The sequence below is a fragment of the Homo sapiens genome, chromosome 2, assembly GCF_000001405.40.
Source record: "Homo sapiens chromosome 2, GRCh38.p14 Primary Assembly".
NCBI lineage: Eukaryota > Metazoa > Chordata > Mammalia > Primates > Hominidae > Homo > Homo sapiens.
In genome coordinates, this window is record NC_000002.12 from 21712253 (window position 1) to 21725113 (window position 12861).

Consider the following 12861-nt stretch of genomic DNA (forward strand, 5'->3'; position numbering starts at 1 on the left):
TATTGTTTCAGGAGTAATGACAAGAAAAAATGTCTGCACATGTTCAGACAGATACAACCATCCATATTTCTTCTGAATATTTTCAGTTCACAAATCGGTTGACTCCAAATAGATGTGGAACCCATGGATACCAATTGACTATTACAGTGTAATAATTTTGTGTGCTTATTCAGCTATAATATGTAAATACATTTTTCACTTTTTAAGATCCAGGTACTACTTAAATATTCAGAATCAAGATATGAAAGTGCTTCCTAAGACTCTCCTTCAGATACCCATGTCAGGAAATTCAGATGTTCACATTTCACTGTATATTGTTCTGGGGATTTTCCCCATGCCTTCAAATATGTCTATCATGTCTTCTTAAGTTTTTCTAAATATCTGTATCTACACAAATATATATCTTTTCAATGAGCTCACATGATATGTACCATTTTAAAACTTGCATTTTTCATTTGATAATGTCTGAATTTACTTCAGCATTGAAACATATAGTTATCCTTAATTATTAAATAAATAAAAAATAAAGCAAAATAGAACAAAATCTGCCTCATATTTCATAGAATGGGTTAAACATCATTTATGTAAACATTTCTCCATTGATTTATAGTTCTTTGTTTCCTATTTACTAGTAAAAGTAAAAGTAGTGCTGCAAAGACTATTCTTAACTATACAATATTTGTACATATGTGAGTACTGATTTTTAGTTTCCAAAGAGTGTTAGATCAAAAGGTATGCACACTTTCAATTATTGCCGATACAGAGTTGACCTTCTTAAAGAATTACCAATGTAAAGTCTTATCATTAGTGCATAAAAGTGTTCCTTTCTTCAAAGCTGATCAGTAGTTGATTATCATAGGTTAGTTTTGGGGGTTTTATTTGTTTGGTTTTAGAGCATATGTGATGGAAAGTGTAAGAGAGAGCAGAAATCTAGATTCCCGTAAACCCCTTCAGGGTCTTCAAACCTTCTATTTGACATAGGCAGAGATTTTTCTCCTTCTTAAATAAAGTGCTTTACAAATAGAGTTTTGAAGCTCCCTTTCTAACCAGATTGCTTTTTATATTGCCTTTTCAACTCAATAGTTATTTAAAAGACAGTGTAAAACTTCCCAAGTTAATAGATTCTATGGTAGTCTAATTTATGTTTAATTTGTATTTTTTTGGCTGCCTGCACTTGAAGAATATGGTTATAATTTACTGAGCTCTTTTTTAAGCCATCATATATGAGAATATGTTTCATGTGTATTTGAATGAATGTTTATTTTCCATTTGCAGGGTATGGTGCTTTATTTTTCAGGGTAAGACTTTCTATTTGCAATGTGGTTGTTTTATTTAATTCTTGATACCCTTATTTGCTTTTATTTATCTATTTGTTTTGTCCAATACAGGGAGATGACACTAAATTCTTCAGTAATGATTATGGATTTCTCATTCTCGTGTTTTTTAATGAGATTGTTTTAAATATTTCAAAGCTATAATAGCAATTTTAAAATATCTTAAAATATTATAGCTTTTTGGGTGAATCCATTTGTACGTTTTATTTTGTCTAGTTTACAACCCTGTATTCCTTTGCATTCTATTTAATCTTATTTTAACTCTATCATATCATCTTTTCTTCCCTCATCTTTTGCTTGGCATATCTTTCTCTAAACCTTCATTTTCAAGTCATTGAAGTATCTACATATGATCTTTAAAAAAAATCTTGCTTGACCTTTAAATCAGAAGATTTGTATCTTCAGTTATTTTTTGATGCTTTCTTATTCTACTTTCTGTTCTCTTTAGCTGGATTTTCTGAATCTCTCCTTCATGTCTCTTAAATTTCACTCTCAGACTTTCCACCTACTTTTCCTTGTATGCATAATTGGAGAATTGAGGCGAATCCCTTGGCTATATCTTCCCAGTAACTAATTTTCTTTGTATCTATGTACATTCTGCTTCTTAGCCTGAGTGTCGTGACTCTGATTATGGAAGTCATGTATCGTGATACCCCAATGTACACCAATTTGACTGTCAAGAATTCTCAAAACTCAGCCAAAGAATACTGCTTTGCATTTGAATTGTGTAGACTTCATGAGTATCTGATTACCATAAAAGGATCTCAGCTTTATAGTTGTTGTGTGTTATATTTTGTGCTTGACTAAGAATACTCAAATTTTCACAATTTACTGCAATGGTAATTTCATGCAGAATGATCATTATAATAAAAAACTCTTTGAAAGTGTGATATAATTTGTATTATTTCTATTGATTCATTTTGTACTTTAGAAATTGATTCAGATTTTTAATGAAAGGGTGACTTCACAAACGTTGGGTAAAATGTTTTTTGATTGTTTGTTTTAGAGACAGAGCCCTCCCTCTGTCACCCAGGATGGAGTGCAGTGGCATAATCATAGCTCACTGCAACCTCAAATTCCTTACCTCAAATGATCCTCCTGCCTCAGCCTCCTGAGTAGCTGCCATTGTGCTCCATGGGTCAAATGTTTTGTTAGTATTTCTTAAGTGTACAGTATCTCGTATCTACACAAGTGTTTATTGACAGTAAGTAACCAGCTAGATTATAGACTAAAAATACAAGAAAAATGCATTGTTATTTTATGTATCAATAGCTAATACAAATTATCAAAGCAATTATCTCCACTTTAATATAATTTGGTGCTATTTTAGTATAAAAGTACGTCAAATTGGGTGCTCAGGAATACATACTTTTTTCACTATTGAAACAAAAAATTTCCTAAAGATTTTTAAAATAAAGTCGATTACTCCCCAAATATGGGAAAAGACATCTCTGGTTGTCTTCTCACCTTAGCTTTTATGATTCTTGCTCTGCCATTGAGGGATAATTTTGAAATGCCTGGTCTGTCTTCAGTGACTCCAAGGGAAGGAGGAGCTTGCCAGAGATAGTGGATAGTGATCACCCGACTACCTGGTATGCTGACAACTCTCTGGAAATTAGGACCTTTCGGGGACAATGCTCTGTCCCTGGAGCACCATTCTTCTTGCCTTGGTAAAGATGGAAATCTCTCTGCATCCCACTGCTGCACGCAATCCAGAAAAATTCAGTTGGCTTGGCTGTCGAGTTCTCCAAATCATCCCCTATTCAAGTTCTATCCTTCCCTTACTGCCCAGGATTCTATTAAGCCTGGATTTAAAGTTCCTCAGAACTGCCCTTGACTCTGCAACAGTATTCCTCTATGAGTTTGGCTATATTTTCTCTGGGTTTGCTTTTACATAGATCCAATTCTGCTTGTCATCTATCTCTTACGAAGTCCTGGAACTTTCTGGTTTGTTAATAGCACTGGGATAGTAATTTATTTTAGAAGCACATTTTCTGCCCTTTCATGTGATTTGTGTGTAGTTGGGTCAGGGTTGACATAAATGCTTAGAGATCATCTAAGCCAATCTCTTCCACATAAATATGATTTATAATTTGAAAAATTGCTTTTTTGAAAGATGATTATAATTTCTTTAAAAAATCGTAATTACTATTCTCCCCTTCCAAAAGTTAAGTAAAATATAACTCAGCCACTGCCTGCTCCCAGAGAGGAATCTAGCTGTCTGTGTAGAGCTGATGAATATTTGATATTTGTGATAGAGATTATAAAATGCTTTTTATTACTAACTAATTAATGACTGCTCTGCCATTGTCATCCTAAGCAAGTAGAGAGCAGTGGGAAACTAACCTGAGTGAAATGTGAATAGGAAAGAAGACTTGGAGGTGACAGATTTTATTTTTAGGCTTTCTGTGTGCTGCTTAGCACTACAGACTATAGCCACTGCGAGGTGAGCTGCAAAGGGCTTGCTGGGCCCACTTTCCCCGGTTGCACTTAGAACAAAGGCAGCATTGCGAAGTGCTGGCTGCATTCTCTGTGCTGACTGTGCAGAAGGGCCTCATAATGACATCAATAGTCGCTCAAAGCCCAGGGATTTTTCTTCTCTAAAATATGTCTCAGAGTCAAGGAAAACTTACTGCTTGATATTCTCCAGGTCCTGCAGGCTGCTTTTGTCCAGGCATTATTTGTAACTCCTATTGTATTTGTTAGGCAGAACTTCATGGAAGATGTTTTATTTTGCTTTCCTAATATGCATATTTTTGACAACCTCAATTAACAAGAATTAAAACAGAACTTTCAGTTCAGTGGCTTGGCTTTTGCCTTTAGCTATATATCCATTTCGGGATGAAGAGAAAGTCTTGGCAAAAATGCATGATTTGGTTCAACATAATACAACACCACACGATATACATGCACATACACATTGCAACAACTGATGTAGCCTAGCAGGTACATTTCAATGAAATATTCTATGATTTTTGTGCCTTGAGCAGTAAAAAATGATCCTCAAAATGATGCCCTTAAGAATATGCAAAGATAGCCAACTGATCAAAAAAGAAATATTAGAAATTGTTCACCATAGTCTCCTTACTCAGCAGGGATGTGAATAAAAAGAGTTGTACCTATGGAAGACTTTGCCCAGTAGGAAGTCTAGTCATAGAAACACTGTCACTAGCAACTAGTGACCTGGCAGGCAGTCAGCCAGGGGGATAACTACTTTGACCTCTCTCTTCTTTGCCCTTCCATTTCCTGCTGGTGTCTCACAATAGCAGAAAACAACCAGAATCCAGAGGGCAGGGGATCCTGGTGTTGCAATTCACAGATGCCACCATCTCAGAGCCTTGAGCAGAGTGAAGAACTGTGGAGGGAGGGTCTGATGTACAAGCAGAGGATACCCACCTCAGCATGGCAGGGGATAATGATCTCTCTTCACCAATACTTGGATATTCTTTATTTTGACTTCAGTGAACGATGGGTTTGCTGGTGCCTGTCATTTCTATTAGTAGCACTTCTTACCTGGATACACTGATTCCAACTTTTGGTGATTCCCTGGGATCCTTTTTTTCTCAGCTCTGACTTGGAAGCACAGAAGATTTCTCAGTTTCCAAATCATGTGACAATACCTATTTGCTTTTGTGAAAATTAAGCTTCTGAATGATTAGTAAATTCAGACCAGGTCACAGCTAATACGTGGTAGTAGATCCGGGGTTAAAATCACTGTCTATTTGGCTCCCAAGTAATTGCTTTTTCACTTGTCTTAAAAGTCCATCTTTCTACTTTACTTACTTAACTTAGTTTTCACACTCTTCATTTTTTCCTGGAGTCAATCTCTTAAAATTTCTTAGTGGAACGCTCCACTTCATATTCTCTTACCCTTCTTCTCCATCCATTTATGATATTGTAACCAGTCCTTCTCCAAAATCCTCAGTTCTTTCAACTACTTGAACCCAAGCATGTGACAGATCCCCAAGCTGGGACCATCAGACCATCTTTCTTCTTTGGAAACAAGTCATAAAATCAGATGTAAATGCTCTACTCTATAGCAATGCTTTCTCTTCCCATATGTGTGTACAGAGCAATTTTAAATGCCCTTTCCCCCTTTTCGATTTTAGATTTCCTTTTGTATCCTCTGAAGCCAAACCTTAACTGACTTCCTTAAGAAATCAAAATAATTTATGTTTCTCTCCCCTACGATAGATGACTTGCTTCCTATCACACTGAGAAAATAATGACCCTCAGCCATGAATTTATTTTACTTTCATTCTACCTAAAATTCATTGATATTTTCATCAGTCTTTGTCTCCTTGCCTATGGATTCCATTCAATGAAATCCAGTAAACCTTTATTTGAGCACATACTGTGAGCCAGTCAATGTGCAGCATCCTTGGATATAAAGATTGATTGTGTACAAAATGGCAGAAACTGTGTCCAGTTGTTCTCCATTTGATTTGAGTGGAGCAGAGGAAGTGAGAAGACAAAATTGTGGCAGATCTAGGTACAAGAAAACTAAAACACATATACTAAGTGCTGTTATAGGCACAAGGGCAAGGTACTGTTGATTCCAGGGACAAAGCAGCTATCCTCACCTGGGGGAGTCAAAAGGATGATTCACAGAGGAAGGGATATTTTCTCGGTCACTCATGACATCCCCACCGATCCGTTCCAATTTCTTCTCTACTCCTCTCATGGGAATTATTTTTTTTCCATTTCACTTGGAAATTGTAAAACCTCTACAATTTCTGTAAAATAAAGTCCATCCTCTCTGGCATGCCTTTAAGAGGCACTAGTTACATTGCCATACTTTTGCTTTCCGTCTCTACTCCTCACAGTTTCCTTCTTACATTCTGGACTCCAGCCATCCTACAACACTTTCCGTCTTCCAAATATCCTTATTGTCCTTATCTGGTGTTCTTTGCATAGAATTCTTTCTCCCTAATTTTTCTACCTGTACAAATTATCTTCTTCTCCAAGGGCTAACTAAAATACCTCTAAAAAGATTTACCTGATTTTTCAGTCATAGGCACTGTTAGTCTCTCCCTTGTCCACACTCTTATCACACTTTATTTACATCTCTCTTACAATACAGGTGACTTTAACGATTTCTTACCTGGTTTTCTGCTTAATTTTTGAATGCAAAATCCACAATTCATGCATTGCTTCTCTACACGTTTCCTGGTATATTGTGAGTGTTCCGAAAATCTGTATTGACCAACATTAAAACATGCATAACCGCAAATACATACACATACATATATTTTGAAGTAAAGACGCGACTCCAGTACTGGCTGAGTAGTATTCAGACGATTTGTGAATCCTTTGAGTCTCAATTTTCTTAGCTGTAAATGGGCATTATAATCCCCTACCAACTTTACATCACTGTTGTGCAAAAATCTATGTGAAACTGCTTTTAAAAAAGGTAAAATGAGTATAAATAAGGATAAATAAGCATTCTTATAAGAGATGTTTGTAGCAGAAAAGAAAACTTAGGGAACCCACAAACAAAATTAATTTTATGAAGTGTTATCCCTTTTACTTATTCAATAGCTACTTGGAAGTGTTGCCCGAGTTATACTGTTGCAGGTGTGAAAAAGCACAGCAGGAGAAGCCAAACATATTTGCTCATGGACAATAGTGCTTTGAACAAGAGCACGGCATTTGGGTTAGTGCAAATGAAATGAAAAGGCCTTGGAATTGGAAGGGAAACTTAACTTTGAATCTCTCATTCATTCAGTTTTCAAACATGAAAGAGGACAACCGTATCTCCTGCAACGAATATGGAATTTTTAAGCAAAAGTGTGCTAGGTCACAAATTAGAAAGTTAACTTTTCTATCAGCTAACTGTATTATGATATGTACATTAATATATGCATGTAGAATGCATTTTACATGTATCAAAGCTTACACCCACACTAACATGTATGTGCACAAATGTCCAATGTTACTTATTTGCTGAATATAATTAGAAGAGTGGTTAGGGGCCAGAGTCTGGGATGATTATCTAAAGTCTTGGCTCTGCCTCTTCTGAACCATTGTGACCATTCTGAGCATGTTTTTTTACTCAAGAAATGCATGTAGAATTATTTGAGTTTGTTGCAAGAATTAGAGTAGCAATGTGAAGCACTTTATTTTGTACCTGGCTCCTACTATAGATTATTTGATGAGCCCTGGATCAAAACTAACCTAAAAACTTCACACATCAGCTCAGACAGCTGACCCTATTCAGTCCTTTTGCCCACGGAGCCAGATTCACAACCAATTCACAGCCTATGTGACTTAAATCGAATATGAATTTCTTCATTTGCTCATTGTTGTGTTTTCAATATAAATCCCATTTCCATTAATTTGTCAGAGACCAAAGTCTCATCCCATGTAACTCGACTGGGAAATCTGGGCCGAGCAAAGTTTGGGATTTACTTGGTTTCAGCCCTGCACAAGAGCCCGATGTGCATGATGTGTGGTATGTGACGTTTGGTCCTGCCCCTCAAGGGCACCCTGAGGGGGGACCTTCCTGTGTGTCCCAGGATGCCAGCTCCCTTCTGCAGAAGGGGGATTTGAGCTCCCCTGAGGGTATCTGAAACTCTTACTGGGTGTGCTTCATTAATCTTTTCCTGACTTCCCATGCCTCTGTATGCTGTGCTTAACTTGCTGTGACTGGTGTTGATGGAAACCAAAGAGCAGAGGCAATTTACATCTTGTAAACCATAGAACACTGGACACCCCCCTTATGGCACATCTGGAGAGACTTGCATTATTTAGAGCCTCTATTCTTCCCCACCGTCTCTAAAATCTTCAAGCATGCAGAGCAGCTGGCTCTTAGACTCGCACCTGATTATATGCTGTCTTTTTATTTTTTAATTGGAGCATGAGAGTCACCCTTTTCTCCCTGCAGACTATAAACCTCTCCTGGACAGGCCCAGGGTGTGACATTTATTTCACTGCCTGCTGGCAGCACTAAGGTCAGTGCTACCAGCAACTGGGTTGATGTTGGCGGCTTAATCAGGCAGAGTTAATACATAAATAAAGCTGTAAGTTTTGAAAAGTTAGATGTGTTAGGTATAGAACTTCTCTAATAACTTCACCAAAAGAAATGGCAGATTCCTTAATCTGGGATCTCTCTCACCTTATCTTAGGCAGGGTGGCCTCAAAATCAGATGCTGAGACATGAACTTGAGAGCAGGTACTTTCTTTAGGTGGTAATCCCTAGATGAGGGAGGGGTGAAGGTGACAGAGAAGGGTACAAAGCCAATCAAGGGTGCCTTAATAAGCAGGTTACCATTGAGGATTCCATCTCTCCGGGGATCCTCTGAAAAATTGCATAGACTGAAACTCAGTATTGTCAGTATTGTCTCACTAAGGAACAAGGCACTGAAATGCACATGTATGGATTTCCATCTCTTGTTGATTAAGGCTACCTTTGGAGAGGTGAATCTCCTAGCACTCTGGACTGCAAGATCCTGGCTTCAGAGAAGCCCTCAAGCAGAGGACCTGAGATCTGTGTGTGTTTGGAGTAGGCAGCTCTTTGCATGTTTGAAAAGTCTCCCAGAGTGTAGGTGGACTGACAGGTAAGCTGAGGGCCTATGGAGTGGGATAGCAATGGCATTTGCCACTCACCATCCCTTTACAAAAGGGGTGGAGAAAGAGTCAATATGCCCAGCAATCCGAGGTGTAAGAAACAGTGAAGAATGTTCTAAGCTCCATGTAATTCTCAAAATACATATTCCCAGACTTGCATTTTGCACATTTGCAGGTCTCTTCCCAACATGTCAAAGGCAAGTTTACCTTTTTCATTTTCTGAGCTTCTTCAGTACCTTTGTCTGTTTTGCACCCTCTGTCCTATACACTGGACACTGGTGATATCTGCACTGGCTTGGGTGGAGAGAAGTATCTCTATATGAAATGGGCTATTAGAGATCAGTTACCAGATCTCAAACAAGCAGGAAAAACCTAAAGAGACTTTGTAGTTGGATAGTCTAAGAATTCAGTCCAGGTTGTGCTACTTATTACTGTGTGATCTTGAACCCAGGACTTGTCACTCTTAAACCCTGTTTTCTTCATCTGCAAAATTAGAATTATATTGCAGGAATATTGTTGGCATCCAATGAAATAGTGAATGTGAAGCAACGTTATTGTGTCTGGTATACAGTAGATGCTCCAAAAACCATACCTTTCTTCATCATCATCATCATCATCATCATCCTTTAGCATTATGCCCTTCGCAGAATAGATCTCAGAAAACAGTTTTGCTGAATCAATTTATTTAATCAAATTCAAATCAATTGGTTTTGCTCATGGTTTGAAGATATGGTGAAAGTTGATGGAGTAATTGAAATCCTAAGCAGTAGCAGAGCTGCTGGGTAGAAATTTCAGACCTCCAGGTGATCCTTGTGTTCCCTCAGAATCATCAGTGAAGTTAGCTGTTGTATAGAGAGCAAGCTTGTCCAACCTGTGGTTCATGGGTTTCATGCAGCCCGGGGCAGCTTTGAATGCCACCCCAAACAAATTTGTAAACTTTATTAAAATGCTTTGAGATTTTTTGCAATATTTTTTGACTCATTAGCTATAATCAGTGTTAGTGCATTTTATGTGTGGCCCAAGGCAATTCTTCTGTGAGGCCCAGGGAAGCCAAAAGATTGGACACCCTCATATAGAGGCTGAAGCCCTTTGTTCTGGTGTTGACACAGCTTCCTTGTGGTCCTAGCCTCTCTCAAACAAAATGGGAGACAGTTGGAGAACAGGAAGTCATTGGAGAACGCTAAAGATCTATCACGTAATACGAAAGATAATAATTACAATATTTTGACTGCTTATTCTCTACTAAAAATTGTGCCGGTACTTTAAATACACAATTTAATAGTTAAAACAGACTTGTGAGGTGGGGACTCCATTTAAGAATGGCTTGGAGGGTTTGGGCTTATCCGGGCCACTCAGTCACTTAGTAGGGCAAGAGTGCATTTGAGCCATATCTTAATATGACCAGAAGCCCAATACACTTGGCCACTACTCAAATGGGAAAATGGAGAATACACAAAACCTCTTTGGATACAGTCAAAGAAATTGATTGGTATACTTGTCTTTTCTCTCAGAAAGTTAGTCTTGTGCTGAAAACCTGGACCAAAATTCAGGAGATGTGTCCTGAATCCCTTTCTACCAGCCAGCTGCATGACAATGCATAGGATAAAATGGTGGTTAGGAGCAGAGACTCTGGCATGAGACTGGGCTTGAAGGAAGCAACCTCTGCTTCTGTGTAGCTGTGTTACATGAGAAAGGAGCCCCATTTATGACATAATTTTTTTTCCACTAGAATTATTTTCCATGAAGCCAGAGAGTTTTCTGTTTTGCTCAGTGCTGTACCTGAAGAACTTTGAATAATGCCTGATATGTAGTGAACACTCAAAACCTTTACTCGATGAATGGGCATATCATTTTCAAGTCTCTGGGCCTCTGCAGGCTCATCTGTAATTTGGAAATAGTACCACACGGCTTACAGAGTTCATTCACAACGTTGCTGTAATGGCCAGATAAGCCGCTGGTTCTCTAAAGCCCTTTAGAAAGGTCTCAGGGGCCAGATCAATGGGAAACTCTGCAACCTTTGAGTAGTTTTCAGTAGAAGGGTAGCCCAGGAGAGAAAGTGTTAATAAGAATGTCCTGAGGGTACAGATGGTGCTTATGAAGAAAAATCCTATTTTTCCATTTGCAGAAATGATTAGCTAGGATCCTACTGAGTTCACTGCATGGGCCACTGCTAGTTTTAATTTGTACCAATAGGATGGAGGGATGGACTTTAATGAGGATCTGTGTTTTCTAATCATGGGCAATGTTCGAGGAAGTGGAAGAGGGGGCAGGGAGGGTGGCAGATAATTGGGAGATTCAGAAGATGGGGCTGTTTCTTGGGGATGGATGGATGCTTTGCTACCTTCCAAAGCTAGAATCCTATTGTAGTGATTCTCACCTGGCTGAAGATGGGGGTGGGGAAATCATCATTATGCACAGAAACAGGTAGCATGAATATTCCAAGTACATGCTCCATGATGAGACATCTGGGTTTGCCACTTTACCATGTGAGCTTTTAGGTTCTGTTTCCTTATTTGCCAAATATGGAAGACAATTATATTTATATCATAAAATTATTGTAGTAAGTATGATAATAAAAATAAAGGACTAAGAATAATGCCTTGCATGTATAAAGTTTTCAATAAATTTCTGTAACTTAAGTTTGTGAAATTATTTTAGTTATAAATGCCCACCCATCTGGAGAAAATAGCACAGTATCCCCTAACCCTAGAAAGTCACTTCTTTCAATATAGCAACACCCATTCCTTGAATGTCCCTTTCTCATGGAAGAAAATGGGGTATGTGTACTGTGATAAAAGACTACTGAGTGATTTTGTTGTTATTCTCCATCTTTAATATCAGTTAAGAATCATTCCATGTTAACAGTGGAGAGGTCTGTGATGAGTGCATTGCTGGAGCGGTAGCAATACATAGATTCAAACCATCAAGGAGAATTTCCTGCAGAAGTGATTTGAATTTAAGCAATGGTCTTAAACTCTCCCATCCAACATTTATCTACATACGTATGTGGGGTTCACACAGTGGCTCTACGTGCTGGAGTAGCCCATGTGTTCTTTTCCTGTGAATTTCAGAAGTAAATATTTGCAACCTGAAGACAATAGTGATCATTTTCCTAAGAGCTACAAAACACAACGAGATTTTGCCCTACTCCAGTGGAACTCAAATGCAAGACCGAGATTGCCTTTAATTGGTTGGCTTGTATGAGAATCTGATGACTGTTTTGGGCAATGAGAGCAGAGGAGAAAAAGTAAAAGGATTCTTCTGGAGTAAGTGTATCTGTTTTGAGGAGCAAGAATAGTCTATGTATTTCCTACAATTTTATGAATTTTTAATACATGACTTCATTTAGGAGGGAATCGATAGGCTCACCTGAGTCTGAGATCCAGATGGTTCAAGGATTACTGACTTAAAAATCAAGCAAAATATTTTCCTATTTTCTTTCAACTAGCATAGAGATTGGAAAATGAAATATTCCCTTCCTTTAATGAGATCCTTGTCTAGAAGGGGAGAAAGACATATCAAACAAATAATCACAACATAAGTAAAATAAATGCTATGGGGGCACAGAGTCCCTGGAAAATCAGAGGAGGATTTAGGACATTTGAACAGAATGGGAAGGTTTTTTTCTGGACAGGAGAAAATTCCCAAAGGTATTCTGCAGGTGAAACCATGGAGCATGGTGGTTCCCTGACTCTGTCATGATCGCTGGACAGCCAACAGCCCCCTGCAGCCTAGTCATCTGTATGCCTCAGCTCAGGAGCTATATACTTTATTCTAAGCCACCTCAGGGAAATGTCCCCCCATCAGCCTCACTCAGCAGGTTTTATCCTTCAGGGTTCTGAGTCTTCCTCTGAGGACACTTCAGTTCATTTGCTCTGGAGACAGGAGTGAAAAGAAAATATAAAACAATCCTCTAAAACATATCCAGGAAACATATTGTTGTGCAAGCTAATTAGCT